Here is a 14,555-nt window from a genome sequence, read left to right as displayed (position 1 = left end):
TCATGCCCACAGCTCCACAGAGAGTTCCTACCTAAACACCCGTGCAACCAGCACGTGATGAAGACACAGATATCACCAAGAACGGCTTGATGCCTCCTACAGAAGTGTCCATTGCATGTTGGAAGTTCCTGAGCTGAACAGCAAGGTTGTTTGCCATCTTCATCTCCCTAGGCAAGACTGCCCTGGAAGAGCGAGTGATGTGGATGGAGACAGGGAATACTGAGGTCTGCTGACGTCAGTCGATGGCGGCCATGTGGATGGACGGCGGGCATGTGGACGGACGGTCAGACATGTGGACGGACGGGCGGGCGTGTGGACGGGCGGGCGGGCGTGTGGACGGGCAGGCGGGCGTGTGGATGGACGGCGGGAGTGTGGATGGATGGTTTTGGTGGTTGACACCAATCCTGCGTGCAAAGGCTTGATGTGGGTTTTCCCGGGGTTCCCGTGGGGAGAAAATTCCTTCACAATGAACCAAATCCCGCTCCCACTGGGTGTTCCTCCTCCTCCTCCATCTTTTTCTCCTCTTTTGGCTCCTCTTATGACATCATAAGACATATATATTTGGTCTCTGTCCCCCATTACTGACACAGAGCTCCTAATCCCTTAGACTTGCCTAGGTGATGGGAGCATCTTTTGTTCCAATGAGGCAGCTCTTGCTGGGCTCCTGGGTAGCTCCAGGATGGGGGCTGGTCGCCAGCAAGACCAAGCCACGATGAGCAGCTTGACACTTCTGGCCTCACCCGCCATGCTCTGGGGAAGGGAGGGGCTGGAGACCAAGCCTGTGTGATGAAGCCTCCATGAAAAGTCAGAACAATGGGATTTGGAGAGCGTCTGGGTTGGTGCACGCGTGGAGGCTCTCGGAGGGAGGCGCCCGGAGAGGCCGTGGGAGCTCCACCCGCATCCCCATACCTTGCCCTGAGCATCTCTGCTGGCTGAGTTGTTTCCTTTAGTAATAAGCCAGAAGTGGCCGGGTGCGGTGGCTCACGCCTTTGGGAGGCCAAGGTGGACAGATCGCTTGAGTTCAGGGGTTCAAAATCAACCTGGGCAACATGGTGAGACCCTCTCTCTACAAAAAATACAAAAATTAGCTGGGCGTGGCGGCTCATGCCTGTAGTCCGAGCTACTTGGGAGGCTGGGGTGAGAGGATCGCTTGAGCCCAAGAGGCAGAGGTTGCAGTGAACCAAGATTGCACCACTGTGCTCCAGTCTGGGTGACAGAGGCAGACCTGTCTGCAAATGTAAAATAAAAATAGATATATATAATATAAAACATTCTGCTGAGAGAGAGCATGACAGAAAAAAAATTCAGTAGTAGGAAACAAACAGTTGTTCTAGTCTCTGTGAGCTGTTCTAGCAAATGACTGAACCCGAGGAGAGAGTCATCAGACCTCCCATTTGTCACAGCCAAGGCATTCAGAAGTAGTGGGTAACCTGGGGACCCACCCCTCCATGACTGGTGTCTGAAGTCAGGGCAGTCACGGGTGACTGAGCCCTTAACCTAACCCCAGAAGTGAAGTGCCAGAGGCGTTGTGAGTTACAGTATGGAAGAAAAGCTTTCTCTCATACGCCCAGCTTCTCTGGCCTCGGGGCTCCACCTCCTTCTTCCCAGTTCAACATCCCCTGACCCTTTTCTCATTTGGGGTAATTGAGTCCCTGGGCTTGGCCAGCGTGCCCCTCGCTCAGCTGCCAGGGACCTGCCCTTGCTGGGTGGAAGAAAAGCTGGTGACAGTGTGTGCCATTGCAGCACACATCGCCGACTCCGCGCCCCCTTCCTGATTAGGAGAACACCCAGCATCAGCTGGCGCAGTGACATCAAAGACTACGTTTCCTAGCCTCCCTCGCTGCCAGATGTGGTCACAAGACTACGTTGGGCCCAGGAAAGAGGGAAGATGGAGCAGGCGAACTGGGTGGGAATTCCGGGAATTCTCCACACAGGGGACGGGCCGTGCCCTGCTCTCCTTCGCTCCTTCCTCATTCCTGGAACACAGATGTGAAGGCTGGAGATCAAGTTGCCATCTGGGACCATGAGGTAAGGCTGGGGGCTTCCCATGGCTGTGGAGGCTGTCGTGCCAGCCCTGAGAAAGAGGAAACTCTGTGGATTAGGTGGGTTAGGCATGGTCGTCTGGGTTTTCTGGGGTCACAGGCAGCCTCTCCCTGGCCTCACTAGGACACACTATGACTGTTGAAACCATGACTCATGATTCACATTGGGGGTATGCCCTGGTCAAAGGAACATGCGCTGGCAACAAGGAGTTTCAGAATGATCCAGTTCTTGGGTTGACACTTCTCAAAAGCCCCTATCTTCCCCTGCCTCTTCTGTCTCGGGGAGGCTGTCTTCAAAATTTCCCTAAAAACCCCTTCCCTGGCTGAGACCTGGGGCCTCTTGCCTTCTTACCAGAGCAGCTGTCCCCCAACAGAAACCTCAGGACACTTCCGCCTTTCCTCTTCCCACTTGGCCTGTCATCCGGTCCCCACCCCCTGCTTGCATCACTAACACCCAGGGGTGGGAGAGGCCAGGACAGAGCCCTCCTCCAAGGGAGCGAACAAGGAGTCAGAAAAGGCTGGGAAGACTTCTTCCGAGGGATGGAATCACCATCTGAGCAGAGGGGCCCGGCGAGACGTGAATACACAGACACACCTGATGGAGGGAGGGATGGAATCACCATCTGAGCAGGGGGGCCCGGCGAGGCGTGAATACACAGACACACCTGATGGAGGGGGGCTCCGTGCCTGGAAACTGACACACAGGATTTGCCCTATAGTCATCAGCACAGAGGCAGAGTGGGTGACTTGTCAAATCTGGGACAATTTGAGCATCATCAAGAATAATGACTAGGGGCCGAGCACAGTCCCAGCACTTTGGGAGACCGAGGTGAGCAGATCATCTGAGGTCAGGAGTTCAAGACCAGCCTGACCAACATGGCGAAACCCCGTCTCTACTAAAAATATAAAAATTAGCTGGGAGTGGTGGTGGGCGCCTGTAATCCCAGCTACTTGGGAGGCTGAGGCAAGAGAATCGCTTGAACCCGGGAGGCGGAGGTTGCAGTGAGCCAAAATCATGCCACTGCACTCTAGCCTGGGCCACAGGGCAACACGTCATCTCAAGAAAAAATAAAAATAAAAAAAGAATAATGACTAGGTTGGACAGAAACACTTGGAAGATATAAAAGTCCATGAATCCCACACACCCATATTCACAGCAGCCAAGCGACATCCACCCATCAACACCTGAATGGCTAAACACAGAGACATGGAAGGGATGTTATTTACCCTCAAAAAGGAAGGAAATTCTGACACGTGCTGCAAGAATGAGACTTGAGGACACTGCACTAAGTAAAATAAGCCAGACATCAGGACAAAAGGACAAAGGCTGTGTGATTGCGCTTACGATGAAGTACCCGGAGTAGCCGCGTGTATAGAGCAGAAAGTGGAAGGGGCTGGGCGCAGGGAGGAATGGGATGTTACTGTGTAGTGAGGACAGTTTCAGTTTTACACGATGAAAAATTTCTGAAAATGGACGGTGGGGGCGGTTGCAGAGCGTGAATGTGCTTAGAGCCACTGACCGGTACACTTAGAAATGGCTAAGATGGTAATTTTCATCTCGTGTAATTTTCATCTTGTATTTTACCATAAAATACAAATCTATGAGTCCTTAATAATCAAGAGAGAAGGCCAGGTGCAGTGGCACACACCTGTAATCCCAGCACTTTGGGAGGCCAAGGTGAGAGGATCACCTGAGGTCGGGAGTTCGAGACCAGCCTGACCAACATGGCAAAACCCTGTCTCTACTAATAATACAAAATTAGTCAGGCGTGGTGGCACATGCCTGTAATCCCAGCGACTCAAGAGGCTAAGGCGGGAGAATCGCTTGAACCTGGGAGGTGGAGGTTGCGGTGAGCCAAGTTCCTGCCATTGCACTCCAGCCTGGGCAACAAGAGCAAAACTCCGTCTCGAAAAAAAAAAAAAAAAAAGCCAGGCGTGGTGGCTCACGCCTGTAATCCCAGCACTTTTGGAGGCTGAGGCAGGCAGATCATGAGGTCAGGAGTTCGAGACCAGCCTGGCCAACATAATGAAACCCTATCTCTATTAAAAGATACAAAAAATTAACTGGGTGTGGTGGCACACACCTGTAATCCCAGCTACTTGGGAGGCTGAGGCAGGAGAATCACTTGAACCAGGCAGGCGGAGGTTGCATGAGCCGAGATTGCACCATTGTACTCCAGCCTGGGCGACGGGACCGACAGGGATCTGGGCATCTGCCCGCCACACCTGTCCTCCTGGGAGGCTGGGAGGCCTGGGGCCCCCACTCTCAAAGCCTACCCTTCCGGCCACTGTCTCTCTACAGTTATAGAGCAAAGGCCCCCGACCCAACCCTGCCGCCGTCACCAGAGGAGCAGCCCCACAAGCCCCCACAGCGTGGTCACACCTGGCTTGGGGGACAGCCGCACCCCACATGCAAGGTAGCCCTTGGGAACTTCTGCTCCAGATGCACCAGGTGGGGAAGGCCAGAGCTGGCCATTCAGGGTTTTTTAGGGCCAGACAAGAGCAAGGCCCTGTGTCTGCCCGGGAGGTAGAGCAGACCACACTGGCCCCATGCACAGGGGCTCTTTGGGTCCCTCGTCCCATCTTTCCAGCTCCTTCCAACTTTGCCCCCTGGACATTTCTTGCTCTGACCCTCCCTTCCCTTATTCCTGGCCTTGTCTCCCCCTGGGCCCAGGCCTTCCCAGACTGACTGGACAAATTAGCAAGCAATCACCAGCTTTGGCTTCTGCAGGGTCCAGACAGGCCAGGAGAACGGCTGGTGAACCCACCGGACAGCAGGGCGGTTTCTGGTGCACACATCGGGATGTGAAGTTGTACCCCATGTCTGCAGCTTGGACCTCACCACTGCTGTGTCTGGGCCGCAGGGAGCTGTTCTGGCACGTGACTCAGCCGTGGGATGTTCGGGTGACTTCCTGTCTGAAACCTGCTCTCCTGTTGGTGAGGGATTCTCTGGGTATGAATCGCTTTGCTGGGGTCAGAGCAGGGAGAGCCATCTCCCTGACGGGCTTCTCAGAGACAACACCCCAGGTGCCGCACAGCCCGGGGCAGCCTCCACTGGTCCCGAAGGCCCGGTGGGAATAGGCAGGGCCAGTCCACACCCCCAGGCTGTCAGTGTTTGGACTCCCAGGCTCCTGCCTGCCCTCCACCCCAGCCTGGCTTCTCCACCTGGCAGGGGCAGGGGAGCCGGTACACGGCTGCCAACCCCCCAGTTCATACCCACAGCTCCTGCCACCCAAGGGACCCAACTTTCCTTTCCCAGACCCCAGTGAAGGACCCAAAGAGAGGATTCAACTGACCTCACTTGAATCGGCTATTCCCGGACTGCCTGGCAAAGGCCAGAAGGCATGGAGGGTGACAATGGCCTGAGCCGGGTCCGCATGTCACTCCTGGACCCCTCACCGGGGGCGCAGAGGAGGCCTGGTGAACGTGACAGACCACCCAGTGGGGCGCAGGACGGGGCAGGTCCTAGGAGGCTGCTGGGGCCAGCGACAGGAACCCACAGCTGTCCCTGGCCATCACCCCCACTGGCCTGATGTGGGCTTCGTCTATTGCTGCTCCGAGGGTGGGGCTGCCCTGGCCCAAAGACCCGGGAGGCCAGTGACCCCATGAGCAGTGGCCTGTGGAGGCGTGTGTTTGCACCAGATCCCCTAGAGGATCACTGTCCCCTGGGCAAGTGTTTCTGGAAAGCCAAGGTAGGCCCTGCCCTGAGACCTGCGCCTCCCCGCCAGGGCAATGGGAAAGCCCAGCTTTCCAGGGACTCCACTGCCACCCACACAAAACCCTCTGAAATCGCTGTTCGGAGGCAGCCTCCAGCCATGCGGCCCTGCAGCAGGGGGCAGCTGTGATCCACGTGTCTGGGGGAAAGTGTAGACTGGGGGCTCGGCCTCCACCGGCCTCTCCTGGCCGTGGGTGTACCCACCCAGGATGGCGGCTTCTTCGCTCAGTGACCGTCCCTGCTGCGGTGCTGGGCAGTGTCGCTTGGAGACATTTGTGGTCCCCAGCTCCTTCCCTCAGCCCGGCCCTGTCCCCACTGCTGAAAGAGCCTGGCTTGGATGGAGCTTGGCAGGCTCGGGAGTGGGCACCAGGGTGGGTCTGTGCCCTGAAACTCAGAAGCAGCCTGGAGGTGAGTGGAGTTGTAGGTGCTGTCCACAGCCAGCTGGCTTTGTCCAAGGAAACTGGGCCCATCATGGCCGGAAGCCCCACAGTGAGGGGGACTGTCCCAGGCAACCCTGCCTGCCCACCCTCCAGTTCCCACAGGGCCCCTCACAGAGAAGCCCACCCGCAGGGCTCCTGGGCCAGGCCAGGCTTGGTTCTGGATGCAGGAGGGGTTGAGGTAGGGCTGGGGGAGGAATGTGGAGTGTGCAGTAGGCTGTTCTTCCCACACGGCCCTGCCCCATGTAGGAAGAGGGAGGCGGGGAGGGGAGGGTGCTTGTGTGCAGTGGCTGTGCCGAGCCTTCCAGGACATGCAGGTGCCATCCTGGTCCCGGGGCTGCAGTGGGCGCACTCAGCCTCTCTACTCCTGGCACCCCGGACAGGGACTCCTGGGAGGACACAGCCTCTGGGAAGTCACCCTGCTCCGTGCTTGCCTGGCCCGAGAGTGGGCAACACCAGGCCTGAGCTGCAGAGGAGCTGGATTTTGTCTTTCCAGGACCCCTCCCTGCAGCCTTTCCAGGACCCCTGTCCTGCCTTGCCTGTCTGGGGACACACGGACAGCCGCTGTGCCGCGCCAGGCCCCAGCACCTGCCTGGGAGCTCCTGAGTGAGTGGAGCCTGGCTCTGAGTGCTGCTATTGCTAAAAGAGGTAAGACTGGGGTTTCCTGCCACTCCCTCCCTCAGGAAGGTGACGAGGCCATGCTGTCATCACCAGTAAGATACCCCAGCCCGGTTGGCTAACCCCTAGCTCAGCCCTGTTTGTGGTTAGGGGAGTTCTAGACAGAACATAATTAGACCCCTGCTACTTCCTGAAACCTCAGCTAGGACTGCAGGGAGGGGTGCGAGGCTAGCCACGCAGGCGGGGCCCTGGGTAAGTCGCTGGGCTCTGCGTGCTGGGGAGTGGGCCTGGGGGGCCAGGCTCTGGGATGGGGCTGGGGGCTGGGAGCTGGAGGCGGGCAGAGGGGGATCTGAAGGCAAAGGTGATTTGTTGGTAAAGATGGAGGCTTTGTTGAGGGTTCTTAATCTGGGGTCCCTCCCGAGAGAACCCAGGACCCCCAGTGACCACAGATGTGATGGGGCCGGAGGATTTGGGGGAGAGGGACAACAGTTTCCATTGTATCTTTGTCACCGCCACCTTCCTGGAGACTTTCTTCTGGAAAAGGCTTCCCTGGCTACTGGTCCAGATGGGGGTGAGTCAGGGGGCTGGACTTTGTCCCTGGAATCTCTCCTTGGCCACTTGCTTCCGTGATTGGTCGGGGGGCACTGAAGGGCTGGGCTTCTCTCTGTGGGGCCTGTGCTGCTTGTGGGGTTACACAGAGGGAAAAGCAGGGCAGTGGGGGCTGTGCTGCGGTGAGTGGCAGTTGGCCCAGTCACGTGACAAGATCCTGGAGCTGGGCAGGTCACCGGCCTTTGGAGTGGCGTTCGGCGCACCAGGCACAGCGGGGCGGGGGGCCCAATACCTTCTGTCAAGTGCATGACGTGGGTCTGTACCACTGCAAGGGACTGGGACTGACCACTGAAGACTGGCCAGTTGGGCTGAGCACAAAATGATATTTCAGGAGATTGGCCAGGCCGAGGTGGGAGAGCAGAGGCTCCTGGAAGAAGATGAGGATAGGGGCTGGGCACGGTGGTTCATGCCTGTAATCCCAGCACTTTGGGAGGCCGAGGTGGGCGGATCACTTGAGGTCAGGAGTTTGAGACCAGCCTGACCAACATGGTGATACCCTGTCTCTACTAAAAATACAAAAATTAGCCGGGCGTGTTGGCACACGTCTGTAATCCCAGCTACTTGGGAGGCCGAGGCAGGAGAATCGCTTGAACCTGAGAGGCGGAGCTTGCAGTGAGCCGAGATCGCGCCATTGCACTCTAGCCTGGGCAACACTATCAAATTGGGAAAAATAAGAAAGTTGACAATGGGCTTTGGATGGGTGTGGTGGAGCAGGGAGGTTGGAGCTGGTGACTCCACATTTCCCTCCCTAGGGTTTGTCTCAAACGTGACGGCAGAAAAGAGGTCATAGGTTTGCCTGGTGCCAAAGCAGGTGGGAGTAAAAGACGGAAATGGCTAGGAATGGCCAGCAACCGTGAAACAGCTTAGAAATTACAGGCAATCCAGCCAGGTGCGGTGGCTTACGCCTGTAATCCCAGCACTTTGGGAGGCCAAGGCAGGTGGATCACCTGAGGTCAGGAGTTCGAGACCAGCGTAACCAATATGGTGAAACCCTGTCTCTACTAAAAATACAAAATTAGCCGGGCGTGGTGGCACACGCCTGTAATCCCATTTACTTGGGAGGCTGAGGCAGGAGACTCACTTGAACCCAGGAGGTGGAGGTTGTGGTGAGCCGAGATCGTGCCATTGCACTCCAGCCTGGGCAACGAGAGCGAAACTCTGTCTCAAAAAAAAAAAGAAAGAAAGAAATTACAGATAGTCCACAAGACAGACCTCAGCAGCCTGAGGAGCTGTTTTTGACAAATGGGCTGGAATGAGGAACTGCTCCCTGCACATGGCAGGGGCCAGGGCTCCTTCTCTGTCCTTTTGTGTCTGTCTGAAAAGTTCCATCATAAGTTACAAAACAGGCTGGGCGTGGTGGCTCACACCTGTAATCCCAGCACTTTAGGAGGCCGAGGCGGGCGGATCACCTGAGGTCAGGAGTTCAAGACCAGCCTGACCAATATGGCGAAACCCCTTCTCTACTAAAAATACAAAAAATTAGCCGGGCATGGTGGCAGGCGCCTGCTAATCCCAGCTACTTCAGAGGCTGAGGCAGGAGAATCACTTGAACCCGGGAGGCAGAGGTTGCAGTGAGCCAAGATCGTGCTATTGCACTCCAGCCTGGGCAACGAGAGAGAAACTCAGCCTAAAAAAAAAAAAAAAGTTACAAAATAGATTTTAAAAGACTGGAGGAGCACAGCAACTTGCAGGCCAGAGAGCTCCAGGGACAGTGGCTGGGTGAGGTCATGCTAGATCCTGTTATTGAAATGTCCATCCCAGGAACATGTGGTGCTTCTCTAATCTGGAAAATGGATTCATTGGCCGGGCATGGTGGCTCACGCCTGTATTCCCAGCACTTTCGGAGACCGAGGCCGGCGGATTTCTTGAGCCCAGGAGCTCGAGACCAGCCTGGGTAACATAGGGAAACCTCGTCTCTAAGAATAAAAGTACAAAAATTAACTGGGCATGGCAGCAGGTGCCTGTAGTCCCAGTTACTCGGAAGGGAGGATGATGTGAGCCTGGGAGGTGGAGGTTTCAGTGAGCAGAGATTTTGCCACTGTACTCCAGCCTGGATGAGGGAGCAAGACCCTGTCTCCAAATAAATAAATAAACAAACAAACAAACAAATAAAGCAAGAGAGAGAGGGAGAGGGTTAGGGAGAGAGAGAGAGAACAATTTTAATAGTATTTAAAGAAAAAAAAGCTGGGCGTAGTGGCTCACACCGTAATCCCAGCACTTTGGGAGGCTGAGGCAGGAGGATCATTGGAGCCCAGGAGTTCAAGACCTGCCTAGGCAACATGGCAAAACCCTGTTTCTACTAAAAATACAAAAAAAGTAGCTGGACGTGGTGGTGTGCCTGTAGTCCCAACCACTCGGGAGGCTGAGGCAGGAGAATTGCTTGAACCTGGGAGGTAGAGGTTGCAGTGAGCCAAGATCGCGCCACTTTACTCCAGCCTGGGCAACAGAGCAAGACTCCATCTCAAAAAAAAAAAAAAAAAAGAAAAGAAAAGAAAAGAAAGAAAAGAAAGAAAAGGCAAAAAAGGCAAAAGAAAAAAAGAAAGAGAAAACATGGGTTCATGGAAGAAGCACGGAAAGTGTGAGGCAGAGCAGCCTCGGAGCTGACACGCTGAGTGGGAGAAAGGCGGGTTGGACACAGGAGAGAGAAGTCCAGGGAGCAGTGGAGGGCTGGCCTCAGTGGGCTGCCAAGGTGTGGCTTGAAGATGGAGCTGGACAGGGACACATTTGCCCAGCATGGAGGCTGGGTGATGAGGGGCTTGGTCATTTGCTGATGTGAGGTGGAGGCAGGGGCCCAGGGCCAGCAGGGACAGGAGATGCAGCTGGAGCTCAGGGATGGGTGGACGGGGGTGTCAGGCTGACCTGGGCCCACACACACTGTGGTCTTGTGGCTGGAGTCATCCGAGGGACCTCACCATGGCCATCATGTCTGGCCACGCTGCCCTGAATCCAGTTGGAGTTGGATGGTGATAGCGGGGCCTCTGCCTGTCATAGTCCCTCAGAGCAGATCAAGAACAGAGTCCCCTGGAGTCCACCAGGCCAGGCTGGCATTGCTGGTGCTGTGAGCATGGTGGGCTATCCCCTACCCAAGCCTCCGGCAGGCTGGGAGCACCTTGCTGCTGTTTCAGAAGTGAAAGTCTGCACCGGGGACCTTTCCCACAGGGCTCAGTCACTCCCACCCACCCCACAGCTGAGAGGAGCCCCACTGGTGGGCCAGACAGCTGGGGCGATGAGAGGAAGGGACGGTCCCCATGCACAGCCCAGGAGGGACTCCCCCCCCCCAGGAGGGTGGTGCCTGCTTCCTGAGTGGAACAACACAGGAAGCCTCTGCCTGGCCTTGTCCTTCCACTTGAAGACCCAGCCCCAGGGGAAGCTGAGAGAGGGCCCGGGCCCCACTGCACCCTCCCCGAGGAAGAGCAGGGCCTGAAATGTGGGTGACCTGCTGTACCCCACGCCCCTTTCTGTGGAGGAAACAGCCCTGGCCCCGGGCCAGGACAGACCGCGACACTGCAGCTGGCGGGTGGGGCCACTGGGCTGGCCGGAGAGAGGGCCCTGAGCCCCTATCCTGAGCTCACTCACCCCGAGGGGAGGCAGAGGCTCCCAGGGGCAGTAGGAGTAGCAGGTGCGGCAAAAGGATGGTGAGCAGGTGCTGGCGGGACCCCGGACCCTGGTCCAGGAAGGCCCTCGGAAGAGGCCGGTGGGCTGCCTGAGGCTGTGGGCCTGTCCGGCAGGGAATGCCAGACAAAGCCTGGATGTGCTCTGATAAGCAAAGGGCTGGTGCAGGGCTCCCCCGGCGCCCAAGCCTGGTTGGCCATGCGTGGTGAGGAGCTGGACCTCGGTGCGAGGGAGTCGGGACGTCCCAGTGGACCCGGCTCTCCGGCTGCCCTGCCTTGGGTTGTTCCCACCGGGCCTCCTGCTGGGCCCACTGACTCTTTCCAGGCATCCTCGCCAGGCTGTGGTGCCCAAAGGTCAGGCACGTGGCGGGATCTGGACGTCAGCAGCTCACGCTGCATGGGCCGCATGGGACCAGCTGGATGGGAAGGTGGCTCCGGCTCTGCCCCTGGCTAGTCTCTGCTCTCAACATACAGGCCTGGATCCCAGAGGGGCCTCGCTGTGAGCCTCTGCCTGCGGCTGGGGCCCGGGAGGGGAGCGTGCATTTCCACTGCAGCTGCCACTTCCTTTGGTTTTGCAGAAGTGCTTGCAGCCCTCTGACCCAGGGTTGCCGGCTGGCATTGGCGTGACTGGGCGGCACAGCCCTGGACCAGCAAGAGTTCATCCTCCCAGGTTTGGGAGGGTTTCCAGAACCCTTGGTCCAGTTAAAGTGAAGGAGGCAGACTCCCCGGGAGCCCCTTCCTGGGCGGCTCAGGCGTTCTGATGGGGCCCAGGGGCCTCAGGCAGTGGCTCCATGTGCTCACTCCTGCTCATTTGACAGGAGAGGTCCCTGCCTCGTGTTATTCAGAATTTGAAAGGTGGGGAGGGGGCGGCTGCAGAATCGGAGTAGACACCAGCGAGCAAGAGTATGTGGGCTTCTAGGGCCACTGAAGGGGACTCGGCAGCTGAGGAGGGAAGCCAGGCCCAGTGTGAGGCTGGTCGGGCCCCCCACACCCCCGGGGCTCAGAAGGAACAGGACTGGTCTCAGGTGGCTCTGACATGCCCCCAGCCCACTTGGGCCCCCTGCCTGGCTGGGGGTCTGCCTTCCTTGGCCCTCCTGGTTCCGGCTCACTGCTTCCTCACCTACTGACCCCTCTGTTTTGGGCATGGCCAGAGAGCCCTGCATCTCTTGCTGGGCCTTGGAGCTGGGCGCAGCAGCCAGACGACAGGGCCACACGGATCTTGGCAGAGCAGCAGCTGGGAGGGCAGCGCCCAGCACACAGGCACCCGAGGGAGAGTCTGAAGACCCTCAGCGCTGCCCCACCATCTCCACTCAGGGGGCTGGCCCGAGATGCAGGGAGCAGTGCATACTTACTCCAGCCAGTGGCAGGGTGGTGGCAGAATGGGTAGCCCAGGAACCCCTCCGGCCCACACCACCCACCGCCAAGGGGGCATCACTTTGGAGATGGCTTTTCTTGTTTCTTTCTTGACTCAGTGTCTCACTTTTTCATGTGTTTTCAAGGTATTGCTTTAAAATTCTCCATAAGTTAACAAGCTTCCTGTAATCTCAGGAGAACATTGTGGCTTCCTGTTTTTCCAGTTGTTAAAAAACGTCGAGACAAGTCTCAATCATTTTAGGAGGTTTATTTGCTAAAGTTGAGGACACGCGTCTGTGACACAGCCTCAGGAAGTCCTGATGACGTGCCCAGGGTGGTCGGGCGCAGCCTGGTTTCATGCATTTTAGGGAGACAAGAGACATCAATCAATATATGTGAGACGTACATTGGTTCCGTCCAGAAAGGTGGGGACAACTCGAAGCAGGGAGGGGGCTTCCCAACCATTTGTCTCTCGCCTACACAGGTAGGCGAGAGACAAATGGTTGCATTGTTTTCAGTTTCTGATAAGTCTCTCCAAAGGAGGCATCAGAATATGCATCTGTCTCAGTGAGCAGAGGGATGACTGAATAGAACGCCAGGCAGATCGGCGCTGAGCAGTTCCCAGCTTGAAGGGGCCCAAGATACTTTCCTTTCACAGAAATATACTTGAAAGGGCAGCTGGGGATGTCAACACACAGGCAGCCCCACCTGCTGGCCCAGAGCCCTTGGTGTGGGTGTCCCTGGGTTCTGCCTCACTTTTGAGCAGCTTCCAGAGAATTCCTGCAAGAGCCACGTGGGATGGGCGGGAAGAGCAAGTGGCTCCAGGGAGTGCCCCTGGCCAGCCTCTCAACATACAGGCCTCGGGCCCAAAGGGGCCTTGCTGTGTAGGGGCTCTGCCCGCAGCCGGGCCGGCCCTGCCCTGGGAGGGGAGTGTGCACTGGGAGACTGACTGCACCTGCTGGCTTCCCATGAGGGTCTCGGCTGATAGAGGGCAGCACCAGGCAGCATGGGGTGGGGGTTGGGCCTGGCACCAGGGAGGCAGGATTGGAGCTAGTGAGGCAGCCGCCAGGCTCAGCCTCTATCCCTGCACTGCAGGGCCCGGAAACAGCAGAGCGAGACCCTCAGGCTTTGCAGGGCTGTGGGAGAGGCACAAACACCATCTGAGGATGGGTTTAGGGCGCTCTCCTCCCTGCAAACCCTCTTTGGCTGGTCAGGGTGGTGCCTGTTTTAGAGGCACCTCAGGTTAGGGAAGGAAGCAGAGGGACAGGCCCCTGGGCGCCTTGCGCCACCCCCCTGCATGCCCTGAGCCATCTGCTGCCCGCCCATCATGCCTCCCTCCTCCGGGCCCCTCATGCTGTGGGTGACACAGCTTCCAGGCCATGTGCACGTCACACCTCGGGTAGCCAGGAAAAATTCCTAGAAGGGGATCAGCCAGGTCAAAAGTAGAGCACATTTGAGATTTTTGGAAACATATTGCAAAATTTTGCTGCGAGCCAATTCATACTTCCGTCAGTCCCGTGTACGGGCACCCATTGCCTACTCTCAAACACTATGAGTTTAAAAGGTCTTTATTTTTGCCAACATGATAGGCCAAAAAAAGATTTTAAAAGACTGTCTTTCAGATATTCATGTTTGCATTTCTTTGATTAGAAGTGGAGTTGAACATTTTTCAGATTTTAGGAGCTTTTCTTTTTTCTTGAGACGGGGTCTCTCTCTGTAGCCAGGCCGGAGTGCAGCAGCTCAGTCACAGCTCACTGCAACCCCTACCTCCTGGGCTCAAGCGATCCTCCCAACTCAGCCTCCTGGGTAGCTGGGACTACACGTGTGCACCATCATGCCTGTTTATATTTTTGTAGGTGTGGGGTGTTACTATATTGCCCAGGCTGGTCTTGAACTCCTGGACTCCAGCTATCCTCCCACCTCAGCTTCTCAAAGGGCTGGGATTTACAGCCATGAGTTACCACACCTGGCCTTTAGGAGCTATTTTTATGTTTTCTGTGAAAGCTCATCAACTTTCTTTTCTCTCCCAGCTTTATAAAGGTATAATTGACAAACAAGAAGAGTACCTAGGCCAGGTGCGGTGGCTTACGCCTGTAATCCCAGCACTTTGGGAGGCCGAGGTGGGTGGATCATTTGAGGTCAGGAGTTTGAGACCAGCCTGCCCAACATG

General features: G+C 56.8%; 1 protein-coding gene across 4 annotated transcripts in view, besides 12 other annotated features; it reads left to right on the top strand.

Moving 5' to 3' along the window:
• Window positions 1,486-2,685: an enhancer, noted in NCBI's record as "BRD4-independent group 4 enhancer chr14:105536095-105537294 (GRCh37/hg19 assembly coordinates)". NCBI's record gives its function as "activates an origin of replication core promoter dependent on BRD2, P300/CBP, MED14 and CDK7 cofactors, and independent of BRD4, by STARR-seq in HCT116 cells {active_cell/tissue: HCT116}" and the evidence as "EXISTENCE:reporter gene assay evidence [ECO:0000049][PMID:35650434]".
• Window positions 2,147-2,426: an enhancer, noted in NCBI's record as "active region_9139". NCBI's record gives its function as "activates an Ori minimal core promoter by ATAC-STARR-seq in GM12878 lymphoblastoid cells {active_cell/tissue: GM12878}" and the evidence as "EXISTENCE:reporter gene assay evidence [ECO:0000049][PMID:35858748]".
• Window positions 2,727-2,896: an enhancer, noted in NCBI's record as "active region_9138". NCBI's record gives its function as "activates an Ori minimal core promoter by ATAC-STARR-seq in GM12878 lymphoblastoid cells {active_cell/tissue: GM12878}" and the evidence as "EXISTENCE:reporter gene assay evidence [ECO:0000049][PMID:35858748]".
• Window positions 5,865-5,934: an enhancer, noted in NCBI's record as "active region_9137". NCBI's record gives its function as "activates an Ori minimal core promoter by ATAC-STARR-seq in GM12878 lymphoblastoid cells {active_cell/tissue: GM12878}" and the evidence as "EXISTENCE:reporter gene assay evidence [ECO:0000049][PMID:35858748]".
• Window positions 5,990-6,507: an enhancer, noted in NCBI's record as "H3K4me1 hESC enhancer chr14:105532273-105532790 (GRCh37/hg19 assembly coordinates)". NCBI's record gives its function as "activates a minimal SCP1, AML or CMV promoter by ChIP-STARR-seq in naive H9 embryonic stem cells {active_cell/tissue: H9 hESC(naive)}" and the evidence as "EXISTENCE:reporter gene assay evidence [ECO:0000049][PMID:30033119]".
• Window positions 6,145-6,314: an enhancer, noted in NCBI's record as "active region_9136". NCBI's record gives its function as "activates an Ori minimal core promoter by ATAC-STARR-seq in GM12878 lymphoblastoid cells {active_cell/tissue: GM12878}" and the evidence as "EXISTENCE:reporter gene assay evidence [ECO:0000049][PMID:35858748]".
• GPR132 (G protein-coupled receptor 132) overlaps window positions 7,013-14,555 on the top strand; it is a 16,036-nt gene continuing 8,493 nt past the window's right edge. For 3 of the 4 annotated variants that reach the window (NM_001278696.2, NM_001278695.2, NM_013345.4), the window contains exon 1: window positions 7,013-7,064. The gene's annotated coding sequence lies outside the window, so the exon portion shown is untranslated. Of the gene's footprint in view, window positions 7,065-14,415; window positions 14,506-14,555 lie in introns of all 4 variants that reach the window. The other variant, NM_001278694.2, reaches the window with a different exon arrangement.
• Window positions 8,185-8,324: an enhancer, noted in NCBI's record as "active region_9135". NCBI's record gives its function as "activates an Ori minimal core promoter by ATAC-STARR-seq in GM12878 lymphoblastoid cells {active_cell/tissue: GM12878}" and the evidence as "EXISTENCE:reporter gene assay evidence [ECO:0000049][PMID:35858748]".
• Window positions 8,435-8,534: an enhancer, noted in NCBI's record as "active region_9134". NCBI's record gives its function as "activates an Ori minimal core promoter by ATAC-STARR-seq in GM12878 lymphoblastoid cells {active_cell/tissue: GM12878}" and the evidence as "EXISTENCE:reporter gene assay evidence [ECO:0000049][PMID:35858748]".
• Window positions 8,735-8,794: an enhancer, noted in NCBI's record as "active region_9133". NCBI's record gives its function as "activates an Ori minimal core promoter by ATAC-STARR-seq in GM12878 lymphoblastoid cells {active_cell/tissue: GM12878}" and the evidence as "EXISTENCE:reporter gene assay evidence [ECO:0000049][PMID:35858748]".
• Window positions 10,390-10,539: an enhancer, noted in NCBI's record as "active region_9132". NCBI's record gives its function as "activates an Ori minimal core promoter by ATAC-STARR-seq in GM12878 lymphoblastoid cells {active_cell/tissue: GM12878}" and the evidence as "EXISTENCE:reporter gene assay evidence [ECO:0000049][PMID:35858748]".
• Window positions 10,740-10,789: an enhancer, noted in NCBI's record as "active region_9131". NCBI's record gives its function as "activates an Ori minimal core promoter by ATAC-STARR-seq in GM12878 lymphoblastoid cells {active_cell/tissue: GM12878}" and the evidence as "EXISTENCE:reporter gene assay evidence [ECO:0000049][PMID:35858748]".
• Window positions 11,180-11,229: an enhancer, noted in NCBI's record as "active region_9130". NCBI's record gives its function as "activates an Ori minimal core promoter by ATAC-STARR-seq in GM12878 lymphoblastoid cells {active_cell/tissue: GM12878}" and the evidence as "EXISTENCE:reporter gene assay evidence [ECO:0000049][PMID:35858748]".

Source organism: Homo sapiens, chromosome 14, assembly GCF_000001405.40.
Source record: "Homo sapiens chromosome 14, GRCh38.p14 Primary Assembly".
Lineage (NCBI taxonomy): Eukaryota > Metazoa > Chordata > Mammalia > Primates > Hominidae > Homo > Homo sapiens.
This window is presented reverse-complemented; position numbering and strand designations above follow the sequence as displayed.